A 26242-nucleotide genomic window follows, 5' to 3' on the forward strand; every position below is an offset into this window, starting at 1 on the left:
AGGCGTGAGCCACTGCGCCTGGCCAGATCATGTTTCTTTTGCCTGAAGAACTTCCTTTGGCGTGAACAAATTCAGTTTTTATTCATCTGGAGAAGAAATTGTTTTTAACCTTCATTTTCAGCCGAAATGTACACTTGCACCTGGAATTGTGGATTGGCAGTTGATTGTCTTTTGGCTTTCTTTCCTTCTGTTGGTATTAGCTGTCAGTCTTAGTTTTGCTGCTTTAAGAGTGCTGTGTTCTTCCCTGCCTTCTCTGGCAGCTTTTAAAGATGGCTAATTTTCTTTCGTTTTCAGAAAGTTTACTGTGATGTGCTTGCAAAAGTATTTACGTGTCCTGCTTGGGGTTCAACTCTTCTTGAATCTGTGGCTTAGTGTGTCTTTCTTCAGTTTTGGAAAAATTTTAACCATTATCTCTCTCTCTCTCCAAATTTTGCTTTTGTCCTATTCTTCCCCTGTTTTTGCTGATGATAAAGTAGAGCATTTGATCATAGGAAAGGTAACTGAGTTGGAGTTATTAAGGACATAATTGATGTGCTTGTTCGTCTGTGTGAGGCTGACATCTCTTAAAAAGATGATAGGAGCAGGGTGCAATGGCACTTTGGGAGGCCAAGGCAGGTGAATCGCTTGAGCCCTGACGTTCAAGACCAGCCTGGGCAACATAGCAAGACCCTGTCTCTCAACAAATCACAAAAATTAGCCGGGTGTTGTGGTGCATGCCTGTAATTCCAGCTACTTGGGAGGCTGAGGCAGGAGGATCACACTTGAGCCTGGGGAGGTCGAGGCTGCAGTGAGTTGTGATTGCACCACTGCACTCCAGCCTAGGCGATAGAGACCCTGTCTCAAAAAGAAAAAAAAAAAGATGATAGTAATTGGGGAGGAGAGAAAGACTGATAAGCAAGGAGTGAAACAGCTTCCTTGAATGAGAGCGTGTGAGGGAGTGACTCCAAGTGTGATTATGAGGTTGGCAGGTGGCAACAGAGAGCAGTGGCTGGAGCATATGTAGTTATATGGAAACACACCTCCAAGAAGCAGGAAGATTTGCAAGAGGGAAAGAGAAGCAAACTCCTGACAGCAAAAATGAAAAGGAAGGACGGTATTTTCCTTCCTGGCCTTGACAAATTAAGAGTGTGAGACCAAAAAGTGTTTCCAGCTGAATGGGCTGCAAGAGAATTCATATTGTCAGGGAAGAGCGAAAGAAGGCAGAAATATTTTTCTAAAGTTAATAGCTTATTGATCAATGAGCAGGGATTTCAGAGGACAGAGCTGAGAGGTTTTGGACAGGAAAGGAATGAGACATTAGATTTTAATGAAAAGTACAGAGCAGTGTGGGTTCATGTGATGATCGGTGACTTAGGAAGCCTCACCTTCTGGCAGTGACAGGTAGAAGGGATGCTTCGAAGCTAATGGGATCGGTCTTGCTAGTTTCTGAGATATGGGTGGGTAGTTGGATTTCTACTCTGATTACAAAGTCTTCCCCTTCCAGTATAGCAGTGCATGAGGTGGTACCACCCTAAGGTTTTAATGTGTTGAGACTTAAAGCCTGTAGCAGAGGGTGATCTAGCCGGGGTAGGCTTCCCAGTAAGGAATGTGAGATCAGTATGTTCTAATATCTTCATACATGGCTTACTGAGGCTGGGCATATCAGCTTCCCAAGGTTTTTCAAGGTTTTGAGATTGTAAAACCCAAAGCTAGACCCTGGACCAGGTTCAATGCACCAAGTTAAACACCCATTGTGAGGCCTTTAGTGGCCAATCAGCCACTTAGCAGCAAACTCGTCTTTGCCTTCTGTTAATCTGGACGCTGACTTTTCATCCTAGAATGGCACACTCTATTGATAGTGACATTATACTGCAGTTAGCCAGCTTTTTCTGTTAAGAGCCAGAAAGCAAATACTTTAGGCTTCACGGGCCATAGGATCGTTGCCAAACTAACTACATGACTATTCTATAATATTATAGTTTGAAAGCAGCCAGAGTAATACAAATGTAAATGGCTGTTTTCTGATTAAACTTTATTTACAAAAACAAGCAGTGGGCTAGATTTGGCCATGAGTTGTAGTTTGCCAACCTCTAGCCAAGTAAAACCTCCAGGGTATTCCTCACTGGAACCACTGTTAGACTTTGACAGTACACTTCATGGTAAACTTTTTATGTGACACGTGGTCTTCAAATTGGGTGAAAATCTATCTAGTAATTTTTGCAGATGTGGTAACAAATGATGAAGTGCTTAGTTTTTATTTATATGGAATATAAATATTTGTTACTCTGTATTCTATGAATCTTTTTCTCAGCATTTGATACAGAATATTGTGTTCTTCCTTAGATTCTCCTGTACCTTCCTGTTACCGTTCTCTCTCCTGGTTCTCCCCCGCTTCCAGCTGTTTTCCATCACCTTCATGGGTGCTTTCCCTCCTGGTTGGTCCTTTGCTTAACTTGTGGTGTTCCCTAGTACTCCATCCGTAATCTTCCCTTTCCCTCATATTCTCCCTGAACACTCTTCTTCATGGCTATCATGTTTAGAACCATACTTCTAAATCTGCATTTCAGATCCATCTAGAAACCTTCAGGTTTTTATTTTGGGCTGCTTATTGGATGGAGTTATCTGTGTGACTTGGAGGTATGTGAAAAGTCAACATGTCAAAACTCAACTCAGTCATCTGTTCTTCCTCCTGTGTTCTTTGTCCCTTGAATGGCCTCACTATCTATTCAGTCATCCTGGAAACCCGGGAGTCAGTCATTCTTCCTCAATTCAGCCAGTTGTCAGATCCTGTCAGTCTTACTTCTTCAATCTTCGGATCCATCTTCAGTGCTCTAAACTGTTACAGTCTCCGAGTTGGTCTCACTCTTTCCAGTTCTGACCCCTTCAATCTGTGTTGTATACCAATGCCACAGTGACTGTTAACCCCTCAGGCAGAATTCAGCCTCTTCATTTGAGTCCATAGGTACTTGGTGTATTTAGTACATTATATTATGTTTCAGAGTATGATGTTTTTCCCTGTTCTTTAAGCTTCTTGAGGGTAGGGGCTGTCATTCAGTCACAAGAAATAGGTGTTGGAAGCAGTAAGGGCTTTGAGGTTCTCTATATGTTAGGTTGGTGCAAAACTTCAAAGCCTTTACTGCTTGTAACACCTATTGCTTATTATATAGGATTTGATAAAATTTGAGTAAGTGCATTTTAGATTCCAAGATAAACATAATAGATTTAATGCACGTGCTTATTTCTATACCCTTAGGAAACCCCAAGGAAATGAGAGTAAAGGAATACAAGAAATTGTATAAAACCACAGGACAAAAAGAATGAGAAAATAGGCAGAGTCCAAGAACACTGGCAGCCAAGCGTCTTCATTCCAATCTGTACCCTAGAAGTAGGAGGCTGGTGGAAATGATTTTTCTGAGAGAAATATTTTTTTCTAGAAAAAAATATGTACAGATATTGACCTTTGGGGACCACTAATGATATAATTAACTCTGCTTAATTATTCACCTATGGTAACATCTGTAATTATTCACCTATGGTAACATATGTTGGGTGTTGACAAAGCCACACTCAATAAGAATTCTATTCTGCCTTTAAATTTTAATGAATTATTATTATTATTATTATTATTATTATTTGAGACAGAGTCTCACTCTGTTGCCCAGGCTGGAGTGAAGTGGCACCATCTTGGCTCACTGCAACCTCCGCCTCCTGGGTTCAGGCGATTCTCCTGCCTCTGCCTCCAGGGTAGCTGGGACTACAGGCACCCGCCACCACGCCCAGCTAATTTTTGTAGTTTTAGTAGAGACGGGGTTTCACCATATTGGCCAGGCTGGTCTTGAACTCCTGACCTTGTGATCTGCCCGCCTCAGCCTCCCAAAGTGCTGGGATTATATGCATGAGCCACCACACTTAGCCTAATTAATTTTTAAGCTTCAAGGGAACACTTACATACTGCTGGTGAGAATGTAAATTAATACAACCTCTTTGGAAAACAGTATGGAGATTTCTTAAAGAACTAAAAGTAGAACTAACTACCATTTGATCCAGCAGTCCCACTCCTGGGTATCTACCCAGAGGAAAAGAAGTCATTCTATGAAAAAGACACCTGCACATGCATGTTTATAGCAGCACAATTCACAATTGCAAAGACATGGCACAAGCCTAAGTGCCCACTGGACCAATGAGTGAATACAGAAAATGTGGTATATATACATCAGGGAATACTACTCAGCCATAAAAAGGAATAAAGTAATGGCTTTTGCAGCAACTTGGATGGAGCTGGAGGCCATTATCCTCAGTGAAGTAACTCAGGAAGGGAAAACCAAAAACAATATGTTCTCACTTATAAGTGGGAGCTAAGCTATGAGTACTCAAAGGCAAACAGTATATATACTAGATATACTAGACTGTGGAGATTCAGAAGTGGGAGGTTGGAAGAAAGGTGAGGGATAATACACATATAGTGTGGCCAGGCATGGTGGCTCACGCCTGTAATCCTTGCACCTTGGGGGGCTGAGAAGGGCAGATCACTTGAGGCCAGGAGTTCAAGACCAGCCTGGCCAACATGGTGAAACCCCATCTCTACTAAAAGTACGAAAAATTGCTGGGCATAGTAGTGGGTGCCTGTAGTCCCAGCTACTTGGGAGGCTGAGGCAGGAGAATCATTTGAACCTGGAAGACAAAGGTTGCAGTGAGCCAAGATCGTGCCACTGCACTCCAGCCTGGGCAACAAGAGTGAGATGGTGTCTCAAAAAAAGGAAAAAAAAAAATCATAATGGGTACAATGTACACTAATTGGGTGACAAGTGTACTAAAATCCCAGAATTCACTATATGTAGGATGGATATGGATTCACTATATATAGTGGATTCTGGGATTTTATATATTGTATAATTCATCCATGTCAACCAATAACCTCTTGTACCTGTGAGAAACAAACTCATCTGTCCAAACCCAAAGAATGGACTCAGAGACCAGGAGAACAGCGAAAAGTGAGACTTTGAATGGCAGCCTTGCAAGATAAGGTGTCTGGTGGACAGGCACACCCAGCACAGTCACAACAAGCCATTTATCCCCTCGTGTGCAGGTCCCTCCCCCAGTTGCTCATTGGCTGAGTACTGCAGGTTTACAATCTTCCCAGACTTCGCCTATTGGTAGTTGGATTAAGATTTCAAGTATGTTCTTTAGGATCTTTCTGCTGCATTTTATTGTAGCCCACCATGCATTGCAACAGTCTCAGCACTCTCCAAACATTTGTCTTTTGGCCCTAGTGGCTGCACTTAGCTGATAAGAAAGGGTACAATTATTTATGTTGCAAGATAGCCTAAACTAAATTATTTGGTGGGGTGGGGAGAGGGTAGTTAAGGGGGCCCCAACTGATAGGCGCCTGGCTGCTGGGTGAAAGGGGAGGCAGGAAGGAGGAGGGAGCGGTGTTGGCTCAGTACACTCTGCTTCTTTATCTCTTTATTTCCGTGAAGGCTGTTTAAACCTATAGTAAGGCACTTAGAATTGAAAGTGGACTGCCACATATAGGTTATTTTCTACATGCCCCAAGAACTATTGAATTTTTTTTTAATGGGAAGAAAATTTTAAGCTTCTATACAGTGATATTCACTATTTGGTTTATAGTTTGTTGAGTTTAGAGAAACATGTATAGTCATGTAGCCACTATTAGCATCAACATCAAAACAATCCCTACCCCTACCTTTTTTCCTTCTTTTTTTTTTTTTTTTTTTTCAGATGGGGTCTCACTGTGATACCCAGGCTGGTCTTGAACTCCTGGGATCAAGAGATCCTCTCACCTCAGCTTCCCTGATAGCTGGGATTACAGGCATGTGCTCCTGGCATAGAACAATTCCCTTTTGTAGTCAGGCTTTCCCCATCCCTAACTCCTGGCATGTGTTTATTCTCTACCCTCATAGTTTTACCTTTTCCAGAATATCACTTAAATGGAATTTTATACTGTCTAGTCTTTGAGTCTCACTTTGTTCACATGTATTTGAGATTTATCCGTGTTGTTTCATGTATCACCAAATGAAACAATTCCTTTTTATTGCTGAGTGATAGTCCATGGTATGTACCAGTGTATTCATCCATTCACCCATTGAAGGACAATTGTGTTGCTTACGTGTGGGACAATTATAAATAAAGCTACTCTACGTTTCCAAACAGGTTTTTGGGTGAGCATAAATTTTTGCTTCTCTTGAGTAAATGGGGTGGAGAGGGTGAGGATTGCTGGGTCATATGATAAGTATATGTTTAACTTCATAGGAAACTCCCAATTTGATTTCCATACTATTTTGTGTGACCACCAGCAATGTGTGAGAGTTTCAGTTGCTCCACATCCTCACCAGTACTTGGGTATTTATTTTGTTATGTTTATTTGCTCTTCTGGTAGGTGTGTAGTGGTGTATCATTGGGATTCTCATTTGTATTTCTCTAATAACTAAAGATAATGGGCATCTTTCCATGTGCTTATATGCCATCTATATATATTTGGTGACTTGTTTGTTTAAATCTTTTGCCTTTAAACAAATTAGATTGTTTGTTTCCTTATGGTTCAGTTTTTAAGAGTTTTTGAAAAAAGAGGGCTGGGCATGGTAGCTCACGCCTGTAATCCCAGCACTTTGGAAGGCTGAGGCAGACGCATCACCTGAGGTCAGGAGTTCAAGACCAGCCTGGCCAACATGGTGAAACCTCATCTCTACTAGAAATACCAAAAAAAATTAGCTGGGTGTGGTGGGAGGCACCTGTAATCCACCTATTCAGGAGGGTGAGGTGGGAGAATAGCTTGAACCCTGGAGGCAGAGGTTGCAGTGAGCCGAGATCGCGCCACTGCACTGTAGCCTGGGTGACAGGGAGACTCTGTCTCAAAAAATAAAATAAAAATCAGTTGTGTCTGTTTCTGAGCTCTGTATTCTTCTCTGCTGATCATTGTGTCTGTCCTTTCACCACTACCACACTGTCTTGATTACAGTAGCTTTACAACATCTTGAAGTTAGTATGTGTTCACCAACTTTATTTTTCAAAACTGTTTCGGCTTTTCTAGTTTCTTCACTTTTCTGTGTAACATTTGTCACTATCCACAAAAAAATGCTACTGATATATATATATATGTATGTGTGTGTGTGTATGTGTGTGTGTGTATATATATATATATATATATGGTTTTTTTTAACTTTACTTTTAAAAATTTTTTTTTGTAGAGACAGGTTCTCCTGGGCTCAAGTGATCCTCCTGCCTTGGCCTCCCAAAGTGCTGGGATTGTAGTTGTGAGCCACCATGCCTGACCCCTACTGATATTTTGGTTAGCTTGCATTGAGTGCAGAGATCAATCTGAGGATAATTAATATCCTAAAAATATTTAGTCTTCCAATCCACAAACATAATATCTCTATGTATATAGGTTGTCTTTATTTTTATCAGTTTTATAATTTTCAGCTTATAAATACTACACGTATTTTGTTAGATATGTGCCTATGTATTTGTCTGTGTGTGCTATTATAAATTATATTACAAATATTTTTATTTCTAATAGTTCATTACTAGAATAAAGAAACATAATTTTGATTTTTGTATATTGGTCTTGTGCCGGGTAACCTTATAAACTTCTTAATTCTAGAAGCTCTTTTGCATTTTCCTTATGTGGAAATGAGACCACTCAAATGAGGATGAGTAAAGCTATTATTCAGAGCTTGCTATAGGAAGGTCATCAGTCACTACTATTTGCATTTGGCATAGACTCAAATGGGATTCTTAAAGAGGAGTGTAAAAGCTTTAGAGTGGAAGAAAGAAAAGACTTCAGGTGTGCCCTGACTGGAAGTTGTTGGCGTGGAGGAGCTGGAAGCAAGGCTCGCTAGAAGTGAGTCCTCCTGAGTGAGTGGTTAGGGGAGCGTATTTGGCTTGCTGTGCTTGTTCCTAAATTGGAAACAGCAAAAATTAGGGAAGCATGCAGTTATTGATCAAGCATTGGCTGTTTGGAACTGATTGCTACAGCGGTTGTAGTTTGGCTTCCTTGGTTGGTGGCTGCAGAAATTGTGGGTCAGAGTTCTGTATGTATATATGGTTTAGGCATCGTCCATTTTTGTATTCAGTCTCACTTGGGATTTTCTATATAGACAATTGTGCCATCTACAAATTGAGTTTTATTCCTTCTTTTCTGATCTGTATGCCTTTGATTTTTTTTTCTTCCTTTATTTTACTGGCTAAGGTCTTTCAGTACAATGTTGAGTAGGAGTGGTGAGAGCAGACATCCTTGCCTTCTTCCTATCTTAGGGAGAAAGAATTTCGTCTTTCCCCATTGAATGTGATGTTAACTGTAGGAGTATTTTAGATGACCTTTATCAAATCAAGGAAAATTGCCTCTCTTCCTAGCTTGCAGAGAAATTTAATCATGAATAGATTTTGTATTTTGTCAAATATATTATCTGCATCTATTGAGATGATCATATGGTTTTTCTTCAGTCTGTTAACATGATGAATTACGCTGATTGGTTTTTAAATGTCAGACCTGCCTTGCATTTCCAAAATTAATCCCACTTGGTCATGATATATTATCCTTTCTGTATATTGCTGGATTTGATTTACCATATTTTGTTGAGGGGTTTTAAGAGTCTATTTTCATGAATGATATTGGTCTGTGGTGGTTTTTTTTTTCCTTTTTTTCTTTTAATGCTTTTATATGGTTTTGATGTCAGGGTAAAGCTAGCCTTACAAAATGAGTTAAGAAGTGTTCCCTCCTCTTCTGTTTTCTGGAAGAGATTGTGTACAATTGGTATTACTTCGTATATATTTGGTAGAATTTGCCAGTGAAACCATCTGGACCTGCAGTTTTTGTTTTCTTTCAAGATTTTTAACTAGTAATAGGAATATTCAGATTCTGTATTTCTTGAGTGAGTTTTGATATTTGTGAATTTCAAAGTATTGGTCCTTTTCATCTAAGTTGTCAAATTTATGGGCATAGAGTTCCTTTATTATCCTCTTAATGTATATAACTGTGTCTAGTGATATCCCTTCTTTCATTTCTGATATTAATACTTTGTATCTTGTTTTTTTATTCTTTTGTCAGAGGTTTATCAATAAAGGTTAGCTAGAGGTTTATTGATTTTCTTTTTCTTTTTTTGAGATGCAGTCTCGCTCTGTGTCCCAAGCTGGAGTGCCGTGGGGTGATCTCGGCTCACTGCAACCTCTGCCTCCCAGGTTCAAGGAATTCTCATGCCTTGACCTGCAGAATAGCTGGGATTACAGACATCCACCACCATGCCCGGCTACTTTTTATATTTTTAGTAGAGACAGGGTTTCACCATGTTGGCCAGGCTGGTCTCAAACTCCTGACCTCAGGTGATCCCTGGCCTCAGCCTCCTAAAGAGCTGGAATTGCAGGCATGAGCCACCATGCCCAGCCCATTTATTGATTTTCTTGATCATTTCAAAGAACCAGCCTTTGGTTTCATTTATTTTCTCTATTGTTTTTCTGTTTTAAATTTCATTAATTTCTGCTCTAAGTTTTGTTTTGCTTTCCTTCGTTCTGCTTGCTTTAGATCTAAATTGTTCTTTGGGTTTGTTGTTGTTGTTGTTTTGAGGCAGGGTATCATGCTGTTGCCCAGGCTGGAGTGCAGTGGCACGAACTCAGCTCATGGCAACCTCTGCCTCCCGGGTTCCAGTAATTCTCCTGCCTCAGCCTCCCAACCAGCTGACATTACAGGCACCCGCCACCACCTCCAGCTAATTTTTGTATTTTTGGTAGAGACAGGGTTTCACCATGTTGGCCAGGCTGGTCTCGAACATCTGAGCTCAAGTGATCCATCCACCTTGGCCTCCCAGAGTGCTGAGATTACAGGGTGAGCCACTACACCTGGCCTGTTCTTTTTGTCATTTTTTAAGGTGGTAGCTTGGAGTAATAATTTTAAACTTTCCTTTCTAATATAAGCATTTTAATGCTATAAATTTCTCTCTCAGCACTACTTTAGCTGCATAACACCAATTTTAATTTGTTATATTTTTATTCAGTTCAAAATTTGTTATTTCCTTGAGACTTCCTCTTTGATCCATGAATCTATTGTTCAGTTTTCAAAGAGTTGAACATTTTGAAGATATCTTTCTGTATGAGTTCTAGTTTAATTCTATTATGGTCAGAGGACATACTTTGTACAATTTCAGTTATTTTAAACTTGAAGTTTGTTTATGATATGTTTATGTTTTGTTTACGATGTGGTCTATCTTGATGAAACTTCCATGTGTATTTGTAAGGAATGTGTGTGCAGCTGGGCGCAGTGGCTCATGCCTGTAATCCCAGCACTTTGGGAGGCCAAGGCGGGTGGATCACGAGGTCAGGAGTTCAAGACCAGCCTGGCCAAGATGATGAAACCCCATGTCTACTAAAAATACAAAAATTAGCCAGGCACAATGGCAGGTGCCTGTAATCCCAGCTACTCGGGAGGCTGAGGCAGGAGAATTGCTTGAACCCAAGGGATGGAGGTTGCAGTGAGCCGAGATCGCGCCACTGCACTCCAGCCTGGGCAACAGAATAAGACTTCGTCTCAAAAAAAAAAAAAAAAAAAAAAAGTGTGTCGGCTGTTGTTGGGCAGAATATTTTGTAAATGTCAGATCAGGTTGCTTGATGGTTCTCTTCAGACCTGTATCCTTTCTGATCTTCTGCCCACCTGTTCTGTCCATTACTGAGAGAGAGAGAGATTGAAGTCTTTAAGTATAATTGTGGATTTATTCTTTCTTTCAGTTTTGTTAGTTTTTGTTTCATTTATTTGGGAGTTCTCTTATTAGATTTCTGTATATTTAGGATTGTTTTATCCTTTTGGTTAATTGATCCTTTTACCGTTATATGTCTCTTTCTTCTCTGGTAAGTTCCCTTGTCCTGGAGACTACATTTTCTGGTATTAATACAAGCACGGTACCTTTTGTTTTTTTTCTTGTGCAAAGTTTATACAACATAAAGTTTACATTTTAACCATTTTCTGGATTTCTTTTGATTAGTGTTTGTATGATGTAACTTGTTTCATCTTTTTACTCTTAACCTATGTTATTATATTTAAAGTGAGTTTTTTGTAAATAGCATATACTTGGGTCTTTTTTGCTTTTCAGTTCAGTTTGACAATGTATGTCTTTTATTGGTATATTCAGACCATTTACTTTTAATGTAATTGTTAGTATGTTTAGATTTAGGTCAACCTCTCTGTTTTGGTTTGTCCTTTCCCCTATTTCATGCCTTTTAGATATTGGTATTTTTTGGTATTTTATCTATTGACTTTTTATTTTTATCTCTGTGAATTCTTATGTGGTAGCTCTAGAGATTACAGTATGCACACATAGCCTTTCGTATTCTAGTTAGATTTTATATTTAGCAACTTTAAGGAGAATATAGAAATCTTACAACTATTAATATAAAGATTCCTTAATCCTCCCCCGCCTTATGTTATAATTGTCATTTGTGTTATATCTACATATATTGAAAACCCCACTCCACAATGTTACATTTGCTTCCAACAATCTTAAGTTTTTAAACTGAAAAAAAATCTTTTGATGCATCTTTAGTCAGTTTTCTAAAAATTTTAATGTAAATTAGCTGCGTGTGGTGGCTCATGCCTGTAATCCCAGCACTTTGGGAGGCTGAGGTGAGAGGATCACTTGAGGCCAGAAGTTCAAGACCAGCCTGGGCAACATAGTGAGACCCCCATCTCTTTAAAAAAAAATCATTTTATTGTAAATTGACAGTCAATAATTGTATATATTTATGGAGTACAACATGATGTTATAATTTACCAATATAATATAGAATAATTAAATCAAGCTACTTAACATATCCATCACCTCAAATACTTATTTTTTGTGGTTGAGAACATTCGAAATTTATTCTCTTGGCAGTTTTGAAATGCAGAACACACTATTATTTACTATGTTCACTATGCTGTGCAATAGATCTCAAAATAAAACTTATTCCTCCTGTCTGAGATTTTTGTATCCTTTGACCACCATCTCTTCATTCCTCCCACTCCCCCAGCCTCTATAACCACCATTCTACTCTCTGCTTATATGAGTTCAATTGTCTTAGTTTCCACATGTAAGTGAAAACATGCAGTATTTGCTTTCTGTGCCAGGCTTATTTCATCCAGCATAATGTTCTCCAATTCCATCCACGTCACCAATGACAGAATTTCTCTCGTTTTAAAGGCTGAAGAATCTTACAAATGTTAAAGCACTTTAGATATTAAAAAAAAGTCTAGGCTGGGCTCAGTGGCTCATGCCTGTGGTCTCAGCATTTTAGGAGGCCAAGGCGGGCAGATCACGAGGTCAGGAGTTCGAGACCAGCCTTGCCAACATAGTGAAACCCCGTCTCTACTAAAAATACAAAAAATTAGCCGGGCGTGGTGGTGGGTGCCTGTAATCCCAGCCACTCAGGAGGCTGAGGCAGGAGAATCACTTGAACCCGGGAGGTGGATGTTGCAGTGAGTGGAGATCGCACCACTGCACTCCAGCCTGGGTGACAGTGTGAGATTACATCTCAAAAAAAAAAAAAAAAAGGGGGTCTATTTCAGATATTTACCATTTCTGAAATTTCATATTTCCCTCTGGTGTCATTCTCCTTCAATGTGAAGAACTTCCTTCAGCATTTCTCATAGTGCCAGTCTGCTGGTAGTAAGTTCTCTTTATTTTCTTGCTTCTGGAAGTGTCTGATTGTTCTTGATCCCTCAAAGAGATCTTGAGGGATGTAGAATTCTCAGTTGACAGTTCTTTTCAGTACTTTAAAGATTTCGGCCTCCATGGTTTCTTTTTTTTTTGAGATGGAGGCTTGGTCTGTCACCAGGCTGGAGTGCAGTGGCGTGATCTTGGCTCACTGCAACCTCTGCCTCCCAAGTTCAAGCGATTCTCCTGCCTCAGCCTCCCGAGTAGCTGGAATTACAGACGCACGCCACCACGCTCATCTAATTTTTGTATTTTTAGTAGAGACGGGTTTTCACCATGTTGGCCAGGATGATCTTCGATCTCCTGACCTCGTGATCCATCCGCCTCAGCCTCCCAAAGTGCTGGGATTACAGGCATGAGCCACTGCACCTGGCCCCCTTCATGGTTTCTGATGCAAAATTGGTAGGCATTTGAATTCTTGTCTACTTATATAATGTGTCATTTTTCTCTGGATGCTTTCAAGGGCTTTTCTGTCTTTGGTTTTTAGTAGTTTGGTTATGATGTGTCTGGGTGTGGCATTCTTCGAGTTTAATCAACTCTCATGTTAACTGAGTTTTTGAATCTATAAATTTTTATATTTGGCTAAATTTGGGAAGTTATTAGCTACTATTTTTTCATACCTTTTTGTGCATCAATCTCTTTCTTTCTCCTTCCAGAAGTCCAGTGAAATAAATGTTAGACCTTTTGATACTGTCCTATATTTCAGATTGATATTTAAGATTGTTCTTTAAGTCTCTATTCTTTTTTTTTTAACATGTTTTTCCTCTCTGTTGTTCAAATTGGATAATTTCTGTTAATCTTTCAGCTCACTGAATCTTCCCTTTGGTATCTCCATTCTGCTATTGACCTCATCTAGTGGATTTTTAATTTCAGATCTTATATTTTTTAGTTCTATAGTTTCCATTTTTTTTTTTAATGGTTACTTTTTCTCTGCTGAGAACTTCCATCTTCCCAGTCATTTCTCTTTACTTTCACTTATGGAACATAGATGTAATAACTGTTTTAAATCTGATTCTGGTAATTCCAGCATCTGTGTCATCTCAGGGTTGACATCTGTTCATCATCGTTTGTTTCTCTTGAGAACTGGTAACATTCTTCTAGTTCTTTGTATGTCATATAATCTTGGAGTGCATCGTCAGTGTATTTTGAAGAGTATGTTTAAGAGTCTGGGTCCTGTTAACATCTGGAGAATAATGATTTTGCTTTGTTTTAACAGGCAATCCAGTTTCACAAGCTCTGCCTCTCCTTCTGTGGGTGATGGGTTCAATGCCAGTTTTATTTTAAAAGCGTTTGCTATCCTGTTTGAGTTTGCCCTCATGTGCGCCTCTCAGTGATTTGTCTGCAATTTGAATGATGGTTTATATCATAGTTTATTTCTGAGAGACTTTGCTGTGCCTTTGGGGTCTATTCCATGCATGTGCCACTTGGGTGAGTCTGGGGCTTGTGTTAGTTCCTACACAGAATTAAGGGATTCCCTTCTCTGGTCCTTTCCTTGCTGGGATTTTCTTCCCCATCTCTGGCTCCCAGGCACCCCTTTCGCTGTTTCTCTTGCTAGAAAGATGGGTTTCTCTCAGACAGTTTTAACCTCCTTCTCTGTCACACAGTTCCATGTGACTGGCTTCACCCGAAGAGTGAGGCAGTGAAAGAAAAGAGAAGAAACAACAGGATTCCTTTTACATGCTTACAGCCACAGAGACCCCTTCTCTCATTTCTTCCAGGGAAAGAGACAGGCTTTGAGGTGCCTGGACTGCTGGCCAACCTTTAGGCAAGGCCAAGAGGGAAAAAATAATGAATGTGAAAGTACGCTGTCATCATGCTCTCCAGCCCACATGGATCTCTTGTCCTCATCCTCTGGCCAGAAAGAAGTTTTATGGGTTTTGTTTTGTTGTTGTTGTTGTTGTTGTTTTGCTGTCTGACCCCTCACACACCTTACCCCTTGGGCAATTCTGCAAAGAAGAGGGGAAAAGAACCCAAGAAACTCCAGTGTACTACTTGATCTTCCAGTTTTTACTCTCCTCTATCAACCAGCTATTTTTCCTTTTCAGAATCCTCAATTGCTTTTTGTGTTGTCCAATTTTTAATTGTAACCTGTCAGGAAGAGCAGCTTGTAGTGGGCATATTCCATTTTATCCAGCACTGGAATTGGCATTCAGATTTTTTTTGTTTTATTTTGTTTTGTTTTTGAGATAGTATCTCATTCTTTTAGGCTGGAGTGCAGTAGCACAAACACAGCTCACTGCAGCCTTGACCTCTGGGCTCAAGTGATCCTCCCACCTCAGCCTCCCTAGTAGCTAGGACTACAGGTGTGTGCCACTACATCCAGCTAATTTTTTTTGGTGGTGGTTTGTTTGTTTGTTTCGGTAGAGTCAGGGTTTTGCCATGTTGCCCAGGCTGGTCTCAGACTCCTGGGTTCAAGCAATCCCTCCAACCTCAGCCTCCCAAAGTGCTGGCATTACAGGCGTGAGGCAGTGTGCCTGGCTGACACTCAGATTTTTAATGCCTTGGTCTTACAAATGAATAGACGGTTAATGGTCCTCAAACATTTGAGAAAAGTCTCTAGTATGAGAGACAGACACATATGGATGTATGTCCAAGGAACTCAGAGCAACCAAAAATTGAAGTAGCCAGAAATAAACTTAAAATAAACATAAATTATTTGATCTCCTTAGATCTAAGAAAAAGTGATATCCTTGGCTGGGTGCAGTGGCTCGTGTCTGTAATCCCAGCACATTGGGAGGCTGAGGTGAGTGGACCATTTGAGGTCAGGAGTTCGAGACCATCCTTGCCAACATGGTGAAACCCCGTCTCTACTGAAAATATAAAAATTAGCCAGGTGTGGTGGTGGGTGCTGGTAATCCCAGCTACTTGGGAGGCTGAGGCAGGAGAATTGCTTGAACCCAGGAGGCGGAGGTTACAGTGAGCAGAGATCAAGCCGCTGTGCGACCGAGCGAGACTCCGTCTCAAAAAAAACCATCTCAGAAAAAAAAAATGATATCCTTAAAACAAGATGCTATTTATGTAAAAGGAATAATCAGAGACTAAGAGAGAACACATAAAATTAAACATATGTTAGCAATAAGTTTAATAAATGAATTTAACAGGTTTGGGAGAGTATATCATGGTAATCTCCTAGAAATGGAGTAAAAGGAAAAAGAGGGCAAATAGAAAAAAAGATCAAAGAAAATTAGAGGGCCAACATTTGGCTAAGAAATGTATGAAAATTTCCTAATATTGAATAATGTGAATTTCTGCATTGAAAGAGCCCTTCACAGTGAATGACTCAACTCCCACAACAAGGCACATCCTTTGTGAAATTTGAGAATGCCCAGATTAAAAAGAAGATTCTTAGAGCAGAAACAGGTCACATTCGAAGCTCAGAATAGCATCAGAATTTTCAAGAACCACCTCTGAACGCAGGATGGTGGAAGAGTATCTTTAAAAATGTTGAGGGATTTGTGGCCTTCAGTGCTGCCAAGGAAGCATCATTCAAGCCTCTCTTCCCACTGTGGGCATGTCTAAACCAGAGTCTCCTAAAGAGCCCGAACAGCTGTGGAAGCCTTGAAACAGCGAAGCCTTGAAACAGCCGAGTCCGGGGAGCCCTTCTGAACCATGGGGAATGCTCATGACTGTGTGGTCCTAGACCCAGACTCCAAGCACTCCGGGGGCTTTGGGTTGGTCATCTGCCACTGTGGAGGAGATGGATGCAGCCATGAATCAGGGCCACACCAGGTGGTTGGAAGAGCTGTGGAACCTCAGAGAGCTGTCTGAAGAGAAGATTCTCAAAGACTGGGTGCCCATGTGACTGTGGAAAAGATATTTGTTGGTGGCATTAAACAGGACACCGAAGAACATCACGTAAGAGATTATTTTGAACAGGATAGGAAAATTGAAGTGATTGAAATCACAACTGACTGAGGCAGTGGCAAGAAAAGGGTCTTTGCTTTTATAACCTTTGATGACCACGACTCCGTGGATAAGATTGTCATTCAGAAATACTATCCTGTAAATGGCCACGGCTGTGAAGTAAGGAAAGTCCAGGTTGCAGCAAGACATGGCTGGTGGCTCATCCAGCCAAAGAAGTAAAAGGGGTCCTGGAAACTGGTGGTGGTCGTGGAGGTGATTTGGTGGAAGTGACAAGTTTGGTCATGGTGGCTTTCATGCCAACCATGATGGTGGTGGATATGGTGGCAGTGGGGATGGCTATCATGGATTTGGTAATAATGGAAGCAATTTTGGATGTGGTGGAAGTGACAGTGATTTTGGCAGTTACAACAGTCAGTCTTCAAATTTTGGACCTATAAAGAGAAAAAACTTTGGAGGCAGAAGCTCTGGCCCCTATGGTGGTGGAAGCCAATATTTTGCCAAACCCTGAAACCAAGGTGGCTGTGGTGGTTGCAGTAGCAGCAGTAGGTATGGCAGAGGCAGAGGGCATTCATTTCTGCCGGAAACAAGGCTTAGCAGGAGAAACAAGGCTTAGCCAGAGCAGCGACAGGGAAGCCACAGGTTACAACAGATTTGCGAACTCAACCAGGCACAGTGGTGTCAGGGCCTAGCTGCTTCAGGGATATGCTTCAGACAATACTCATGTGTATGGGCAAAAGACTCGGGGGCTGTAATTGTATAACAGGGCATTTTAGTTTCTGTTCTCTGGAAACTGAAAACAGTCCAACAAAGAATTTTAATGTAGACTATTTTTGCACCCATGCTGTTGATTGCCAAATGTAATAGTCTGATCATGACGCTAAAGAAATGTGTCTTTAAAACATTCTGAGGGAAAATTGTCTTTTTTTTTTTAGTTTTTATGTTTTTGTGACAGGGTCTCACTCTGTCACCCAGGCCGGAATGGAGCGATGTGATCCTTGTTCACTGTGGCCTCGAACTGCTGGACTCAAGCAGTCAACCTACCCCAGCTGCCCGAGTAGCTGGGGCTACAGGTGTGTGCCACCACACCTAGCTAATTTTTTTATGTTTTCTAGAGATGGGGTCTCACCATGTTGCCCAGGCTGGTCTGGAATTCCTGTCCTCAAGCAATCCTGAACCTCCCAAAGTTCTGCAATAACAGGCATAAGCCATCACACCTAGCCAGAAACTTATTTTTAATGTATAATTACATACCCAAACAATCAATCAATTATGATAGCAGAAGAAAGATATTTTTAGATGTCCAGCATCTCAGAAATTTGACCTCCAGTGTGTATTTTCTCAAGGAAAGAAACTATTAGAGGATTGTGCCACCAAGTAAAGTAAACCAAGGAGAAATGGAAGACACCAAATATAAGAAATGGAAGATTCAGTGTGGGGAAGAGATTGGAAGTCTTAGGACGACAGCTGCAGCAGGACCAGAGAGTAGCCAGCCTGACATGTCATCCAGAGTGCTCCAGGAAGGCAAGGGCTCCAAGAGAGATGTCTTCAGAGAAAGATGCAAATCATAGATTCCTTCACATGGTTGATCTTGTTTAAAGTATTGCTCAGAAGGGGTTCAGAAGACCAATAATAGTGACATAGAAAACTAAGCAAACAAAATATAAATTCATAACTCCATGAAAAGCAATTTGTGCTCAAAAGGAAATATGATGACAGCTAATTATAGATATTTTTGTGATGGACAGTATAACATGTCCCTGGAAAAATTTATTTTCTACGGAATTGAGCCCTAAAAATACCAGAGCAAGGAACCTATAGCTTAAGAGAGTCCTAAACAACATATCAAGTAAAATAGAATGAGAGTGGGGATTAAACTATATAGTGTCTAGGAATGCTCACTTGTCAATCCTTAGAGAAACTAAGGATAAAAGTTGGGATAGTTAGTGCTTTTAGAGGAAAGAAGAGGTGTTTAATTGCATTGGGGCACAGACAGGGGCTAGCAAAGTTCTATTTCTTTTTTTTCTTTTCTTTTAAGACAGGCTCTCACTCTGTCACCCAGGCTGCAGTACAGTGGCACAATCATAGCTCATTGCTTGCAGCCTCAAACTCCTGGGCTCAAGTGATCAGCCTTCCAAGTAGCTGGGACTACAGGCATGTGCCATCACGCCCAGCAATTTTTTTTCTTTCTTCTTTTTTTAGGTAGCGACAGAGTCTCATAATGTTGCCCAGGCTGATCTTGAACTCCTGGGCTTAAGCAGTTCTCCCACCATGGCCTCCCAAAGTGCTGGATTACAGGCATGAGCCACCATGCCCTGCCAAAGTTCTATTTCTAGATGTGGGTGTGGCTATAAGGGTATGTGCCTTGTAAAAAATAATTTTTAAAAATACATTATTCAATGTATTTTTGTACGCTTATTTTATATTTACTATACTGTTTGGTATATTATGATGTTAATATAATATTTTTTAGAAAGACCCCAGGAGAGTGGTTATTCTGGGGGAGGAAGGGTAACTGGAAGAAGGGAATGGGTGCCTCTAAGGTGCTGCTGGTATTGTTGTGTTTCTTTTTCTTAAGGTTTTTTTTTTTTTTTTTTTTTTTTTGAGAGTTTTGCTCTATCATCCAGGCTGGGGTGCAGTGGCGTGATCTCGGCTCACTATAACCTCTCCCTCTCGGGTTCAAGCGATTATCTGCCTCAGCCTCCCAAGTAGCTGGGACTATAAGGCGAGTGCTACCACGTATTTGAGTAGAGATGGGATTTCACCATGCTGGCCAGGCTAGTCTTGAAATCTTGGCCTCAATTGCTCCACCTGCTTTGGCCTCCCAAAGTGTTGGAATTACAGGCGTGAGCCACTGCGCCTAGCCGTATTGCTGTTTCTTCATCCGGCTACTGATTCACGCATGTGTTCAGCTCATAGAAATTAACTGAACTTCATACACCTGTACTTTATGATGTATAATGATGCTCCAATAAAAAGTATTTTTAAAAAGTACCAGAGGTTATGGGACAGGAATGGAGCAGACCACTCAAAACCAATGTAATCTTGGGACCAGAGGATGAAAGCAATGATATTTCTAGTAAAACTACTGACAGAGTTTAAAGACTTGTTGGCCGGATGCAGTGACTCACACCTGTAATCCCAGCACTTTGGGAGGCTGAGACGAGCGGATCATGAGGTCAGGAGATTGAGACCACCCTGGCTAACACGGTGAAACCCCATCTCTACTAAAAATGCCAAAAAAAAAACTAGCCTGACATGGTGGCGGGCACCTATAGTCCCAGCTACTTGGGAGGCTGAGGCAGGAAAATGGCATGAACCCGGGAGGCGGAGCTTGCAGTGAGCCAAGACCACGCCACTGCACACCGGCCTGGGTGACAGAGCGAGACTCCATCTCAAAAAAAAAAAAAAAAAAAGACTTGTTGAATTTTTTTCTTTTCTTTTCTTTTTTTCTTTTAATCGAGATGGAGTCGTGCTCTTTCACCTAGGCTGGAGTGCAGTGGCGCAATCTCGGCTTGCGTCCTGGGTTCAAGCGATTTTTCTGCCTCAGTCTCCCAAGTAGCTGGGATTACAGGCGCCCGCCAGCACATCTGCATAATTTTTGTATTTTTAGTAGAGACGGGGTTTCGCCATGTTGGCCAGGCTGGTCTCAAACTCCTGACCTTAAGTGATCTGCCTACCTCGGCCTCCCAAAGTGCTGGGATTCCAGGCATGAGCACTTTTAACATGCTGGGGAAAATGATGTCTGGACCGTGCAACTTGGTGTTGTGTTACTGTCATTCTTCTATTTACTGATCGCCTATGACTTGATTTACTCTACAGAATCTTGTTAGAACAGATCATTCTGGGCTCTGTGTCAGACAATATAGTGATAACCATATAAACAATATATACTGATAGAACCAAAAATTTTGATATAAGTACAAATTATGGTATAATTGGGAGGGGGATAGGGAAATGAAAGTCTACGAAATCATAGTCTAGTTTAGCATACAGTGCTAGATGATCCAAAAATAATAAGTGGCCAGGCCTGGTGGCTCATGCCTGTAATCCCAGCACTTTGGGAGGCTGAGGTGGGAGGATCACTTGAGCCCAGGAGTTCGAGACGAGCCTGGCCAACATGGCGAAACCCTCTCTACAAAAAAAAATGTTTTAAATTTAAAAACAAAAATAATAAGGAATTTTTGTAAAAAGAAATTTGTGGGTAAATATTGAGAGAAACCAGTAAAATGAGTTGCTTCTAAGGAGGATACCTCAGGGGTCAGAAGAATGCTGCTTTTTGTTCCAAGTCTTGTAGCACTATCTGATTTTTTTAAACTATATATAACTGTAATAACATTAAAAATAATGAAAACAGCAACTTACCAAATAAGTTTACAAATCTTCCACTAAGTTCCTCAGAGCATCTTACATGTACCCATCTAAGCCTCATAATTGTTTCTCCCACCTTTTTAGACTTTCCAAGGTCCATTCTTCCTTTTTAATGGTCAGGAGTTCGAGACCAGCCTGGCCAATGTGGTGAAACCCCAACTGTACTAAAAATGCAAAAAAATTAGGTGGGGTAGTGGCAGGCACCTTTAATCCCAGCTACTCAGGAGGCTAAGGCAGGAGAATCCCTTGAACCTGGGAGGTAGAGGTTGCAGTGAGTCGAGATTGTGCCATTGCACTCCAGCCTGGGCAACAATAGTGAAACTCTGTCTGAAAAATAAATAAATAAAAATAAAGATAATTTTAAGATTATTGTTTTAAAGAATAAATGTTGATATTCTTAAGGTGGTAAAAGCAAGATAATGGCATATTTATTAGTAACAAAAATTTAAACAACAAAGAAAAAGCAAATGATTTCCAAAATATCAATAACAAATCAGTAAATAAAGGTAATCAGAAGTTTAACTTCCTTGTGGCTGGGCACAATGGCTTGTGCCTGTAATCCCAGCACTTTGGGAGGCTTCAGTGGGCGGATCACTTGAGGTCTAAAAACTACAAAAAATTAGCCAGGTGTGGTGGAACATGCCTGTGGTCCAGCTACTTGGGAGGCTGAGGCAGGAGAATCACTTGAATCTAGAAGATGAGACCAGCCTGGGCAACATGATGAAACCCTGGCTCTACCAAAAATAAAAAAAATTAGCCCTGCGTGGTGGTGGGAGCCTGTAATCCCAGCTACTTTAGGAGGCTGACACAGGAGTCTCACTTGAACCCGGGAGGCAGAGGTTGCAGTGAGCCGAGATAGCACCACTACACTCTGGCCTGGGTGACAGAATGAGACTCTGTCTCAAAAAATAAAAATAAAAGAACTAAAAGTAATTCTCAAGTGATGAGTATGTAGAGGTGGAGATGAAACAAGAAAGGCGTAATTATTGAAGCTGGGTGATGGGTACCTGGGTTTTTTTTGTTTTTTTGTATGCGTTTTGTTTTTATAGTACCCTTTCTCTTTACCATAGCAAAATAATACATGGGTGTTTATTACACTCTTGTGCTCACTTTGTGTATATGCATTTGAAGTTTTCTATAATTTTTTTTTTTAAGAAAAAGCAATATTTGGCTGGCCACAGTAACTCACACCTGTAATCCCAGCATTTGCAGAGGCCAAAATAGGTGGAATGCCTGAGCTCAGGAGTTCGAGACCAGCCTGGGCAACATGATGAAACCTCATCTCTACCAAAAATACAAAAATTAGCCAGGCACGGTGGTGGATGCCTGTGGTGCCAGCTATTCGGGAGGCTGAGGAGGGAAAATTGCTTGAGACTGGGAGGTGGAGGTTGCAATGAGTGCAGATTGCACCACTGCACTCTAACATTATTGACAGAGTGAGACCCCGTCTCAAAAAAAAAAAAAAAGCAACATTCTGGCTTACCATATTAGCGAGTCAAAAGATAATATTTAGGGCTGGGTGCGGTGGCTGATGCCTGTAATCCTAGCACTTTGGGAGGCCAAGGCGTACGGATGACCTGAGGTCAGGTGTTCAAGACCAGTCTGGCCAACATGGTGAAACCCCATCTCTACTGAAAATACAAAAATTAGCTGGGCGTGGTGGCGGGTGCTAGTAATCCCAACTACTCAAAAGGCTGAGGCAGGAGAATCACTTGAATCCAAGTGGTGAAGGTTGCATTGAGCTGAGATTGCGCTGCTACACTCCAGCCTGGGCGACAGAGCCAGACTGTCTCAAAAAGAAAAAAAAAAATAGCAATGTAAACATATTATTTAGAAATGTGGAAGTAAATAAGAGTGAAAACAGGGCCGGGCGCAGTGGCTCACGCCTGTAATCCCAGCACTTTGGGAGGCCGAGGCGGGCAGATCACGAGGTCAGCAGATCGAGACCATCTTGGCTAACACGGTGAAACCCCATCTCTACTAAAAATACAAAAAAATTAGCTGGGCATGGTGGTGGGCGCCTGTAGTCCCAGCCACTTGGGAGGCTGAGGCAGGAGAATGGCCTGAACCTGGGAGGCGGAACTTGCAGTGAGCCGAGATCGCGCCACTGCACTCCAGCCTGGGCGACACGAATGAGACTCCGTCTCAAAAAAAAAAGGTGGAAACAGTTAACAGACATCAAAGTGGATGCCTCTGGGATGAGAACTGACTTGGGGAGGGCTGGAGGAGGGAACATCTCTGTATTAGAAGGCTTTGATTTTATTTTATTTTGAAACCTTATGCATGTATAACTTTGATAATATATTCATTTGTGGATTGCCACATTGTTTTCGAGGAAAATACCCATGTGATCTTACATGAATAATCAGGCATAGACCAGTGCTTTGAATATATAAAAATTCTGTTTAGCCATGATAATTTTGGCAGTATGCCATTTATTTCTGTTGCCAAAGGCAGTGATTTAAATTGGAATTCCTGCCTGGGATGAGTAGGGCTAAGAGGTTTGATTACATATAGTTTCCCCATCTGTACTCTGGCCTCCAGCAGTTTGTTCTTTATGCAGCAGCGAAGAGTGATCATAAATAAGCTTATCTCACTCTCCAGTTTGAAAGCTACTAAACGTCTTTCATAGCAATTAGAATAAAATTCAAACTCTTCGGCATGGCCTACACACAAGGCCCTAAATAATGTAAATGATTGGACTCGCTCCCAGTTCTCCTGTCACTCTCCTCAATCACCATGCCCCAGCCTCAGTGGCCTTCCTTGGCACACCCACAGCTCATTCCTACCTCAAGGCCTTTGACTTGCCATTGCTCATGAGACCGATTGCTTACCATCACTCAGGATCTCATTCAAAACTTCATTCCTGGAAAAGGTCCTTCCCGACCATCAAGCTAGAGGAGCTTGCTGCACCCCTTCTCTGCCCACAGCTATGGATCTCCAAGTGTGGGCTTCAGACCAGAAGCGTCAGTGTTGCCTGCAAGCATTTCATTTTGTGTTGTGTTTTCTCTGGAAATGCAGAGTCTTAGGCCCCACCACAGACCCACTGAAGGAACAGCTACATTTTAACCAGACCCCAGAGTGATTGTGCTTTAAAAATTTCAGAAGCACTGATCTAGAGTTTCCCCTTCTAATTTTCCTGTGTATCTGTTACAAGGTGTGTCCATTGCTGCAGGTAATCTGGCATTTGTTTACCTGTTTATTATTTCTCTTCCCTAAATAGAATTTAAGGTCCACAAGGGCAGCACCTCGTCTGGCTCGTTCACTTCTGGATCCCCGGCACGTAGCGTCAGTGCACACAGTACATGCTCAATAAGTATTTAGATGAGTGAAAGAATAAATGAATATAATGGAAATTATTTTATGTTCTTTGAAATGTATAACTGAAGGCTGGGTGTCATAGCTCAGCCTGTAATCCCAGCACTTTGGGAGGCCAAGGTGGGAGGATTGCTTGAGTCCAGTACTTCAAGACCAGCCTTGGCACATGGCAAAGCTGCAACTCTATAAAAAAATACCAAAAAAAAAATATATATATATAGCTGGGTGTGGTAGTCTCAGCTACTTCGGGAGGCTGAGGCAGGAGAATCACTTGAACCTCGGAGGTCAAGGCTGCAGTGAGTCATGATTGCAACTGCACTGTAGCCTGGGCAACAGAGGAACATCCTGTCTCAAAAAAACAAAACAAAACAAAACAAACAAAAAGGATTGCATAATTCTACAATAAAAATCTTCATGGCTTTCACTTGTTTGTAAAATCGGGGTGATTTTTCTCTCCCAACATCATCGTTATACAGGGGTTTCATTCTATATCTTGGGCATCAAGTGCTATTAAACTATTGTGGCCTGTGAAGAATTACTTATTTATCCTTGCTTTGGGGCAGTTTGTCTTCAGAACCAAAGTTTAGATTTTGTTTAGACTGATTCTCTACTGACTTAACACCATAACTGGTTTTTTTTTTTTTTTTTAGTATTTAAGAAGCACTCTCGTTCAATCCAGAGTTAACATTATCTTTAAAGGTTTTTTATTCAAAATGAATGTTTGATATTTGTATCAAGTTTTATCAAATAAGTTAACAATTTAAAAAAAATCAGGTTTTAAAAATGTTAAGTCAAATGCAAGATTTAAAGTTAAATTGCAAATAAAAACTGATAGGGCATATAATGTATCCAGTTTTTTACATCTGAGATAGGATTCCAGGAAAGACCTATAGTTTCTGATATTATCCTGCATTTTTTTTTTTTGAAATGGAGTTTTGCTCTTGTTGCCCAGGCTGGAGTGCAGTGGTGCAGTCTCGGCCCACTGCAACCTCTGCTTCCAGGGTTCAAGTGATTCTCCTGCCTTAGTCTCCCAACTAGCTGGGATTACAGGTGCACACCACCATGTCCGGCTAATTTTTTGTATTTTGAGTAGAGACGGGTTTCACCATGCTGGCCAGCCTGGTCTCGAACTCTTGACCTTGTGATCTGCTCGCCTCGGCCTCCCAAGGTGGTGGGATTATAGGTGTGATCCACGGGCCCGGCCCTACATTTAAAAAATACATTCCCAGTATATTTCTTAATGCATATCCTGGTGAAATTTGTGAAGAAACAACTTTTCAATCTATATTCTTTGAGTGAATAAATAGCACAACTTACATTCTATGGTTTTCAACTGGGGGCAGTCGTGTCCCAGCGGATGTTTGGCAATGGCTGTGACTGCATTTTTGGTAGTCACACCTGGGATGGAGGAGTACTGGCAGCATCTAGTTGGGGGAGCTCTGGGGTACTGTTAGTTATGTAATGCACAGAACACCCCACAGCACAAAGAATTATCTAGCCCAAAATGTCAGTAGTCCACTGTTAAGAGACAGTGGACAACTGTCTCCTTCTGCATAGAGAAGTCTCCTTCTGCAAATACTAATGCCATTGGAAAACGAATACTTTGCCCTACCTTCTGGAGAAGAGAATATATAGAAATTGGCAACTGAGAGATTCAGATGGGTATACTGGCACCTTTAGATATGTTCATTTTAGATGATTATTTCTAATCAGAAATCTAGTGACTGGCCTCCCTCTCTTTGGGGCAAATCACTCTCTCAACACAGGACATTTAAGACATTTCACAACTTAGTTGATTTTAGAATTGGATAACGTTCTCAAATAATGATACATTTTTTAAAATAGGGAAATTCAAATATAGGGTTACTGGTTTTCCTTATTTTACAGATGGGGTCGAGGATTTGGTCTTTTGGGTTCCATTTTTGGAAAGGATGGTGTATTAAACCAGCCAAACAGTGTCTTTGGACTTATATTTTATATACTACAGTTATTACTTGGTAAGTATTTATCAATACAAA

At 41.0% G+C, this 26242-nt stretch overlaps 1 protein-coding gene and 1 pseudogene across 4 annotated transcripts in view; both read left to right on the forward strand.

Moving 5' to 3' along the window:
* VKORC1L1 (vitamin K epoxide reductase complex subunit 1L1) overlaps positions 1–26242 on the forward strand; it is a 93787-nt gene that overhangs the window by 56788 nt on the left and 10757 nt on the right. For 3 of the 4 annotated variants that reach the window (XM_011515831.3, XM_047419923.1, NM_173517.6), the window contains one exon: positions 26112–26221. The exons of the other annotated variant lie outside the window; for it this stretch is intronic. In XM_011515831.3, coding sequence (XP_011514133.1) covers positions 26112–26221 — 110 coding nt within the window. The remainder of the gene's footprint in view (positions 1–26111; positions 26222–26242) is intronic. 4 annotated transcript variants of the gene reach the window in all.
* On the forward strand, positions 16201–16803 carry HNRNPA1P75 (heterogeneous nuclear ribonucleoprotein A1 pseudogene 75; annotated as a pseudogene).

The sequence above is a fragment of the Homo sapiens genome, chromosome 7 (assembly GCF_000001405.40).
Source record: "Homo sapiens chromosome 7, GRCh38.p14 Primary Assembly".
NCBI classification, from domain to species: domain Eukaryota; kingdom Metazoa; phylum Chordata; class Mammalia; order Primates; family Hominidae; genus Homo; species Homo sapiens.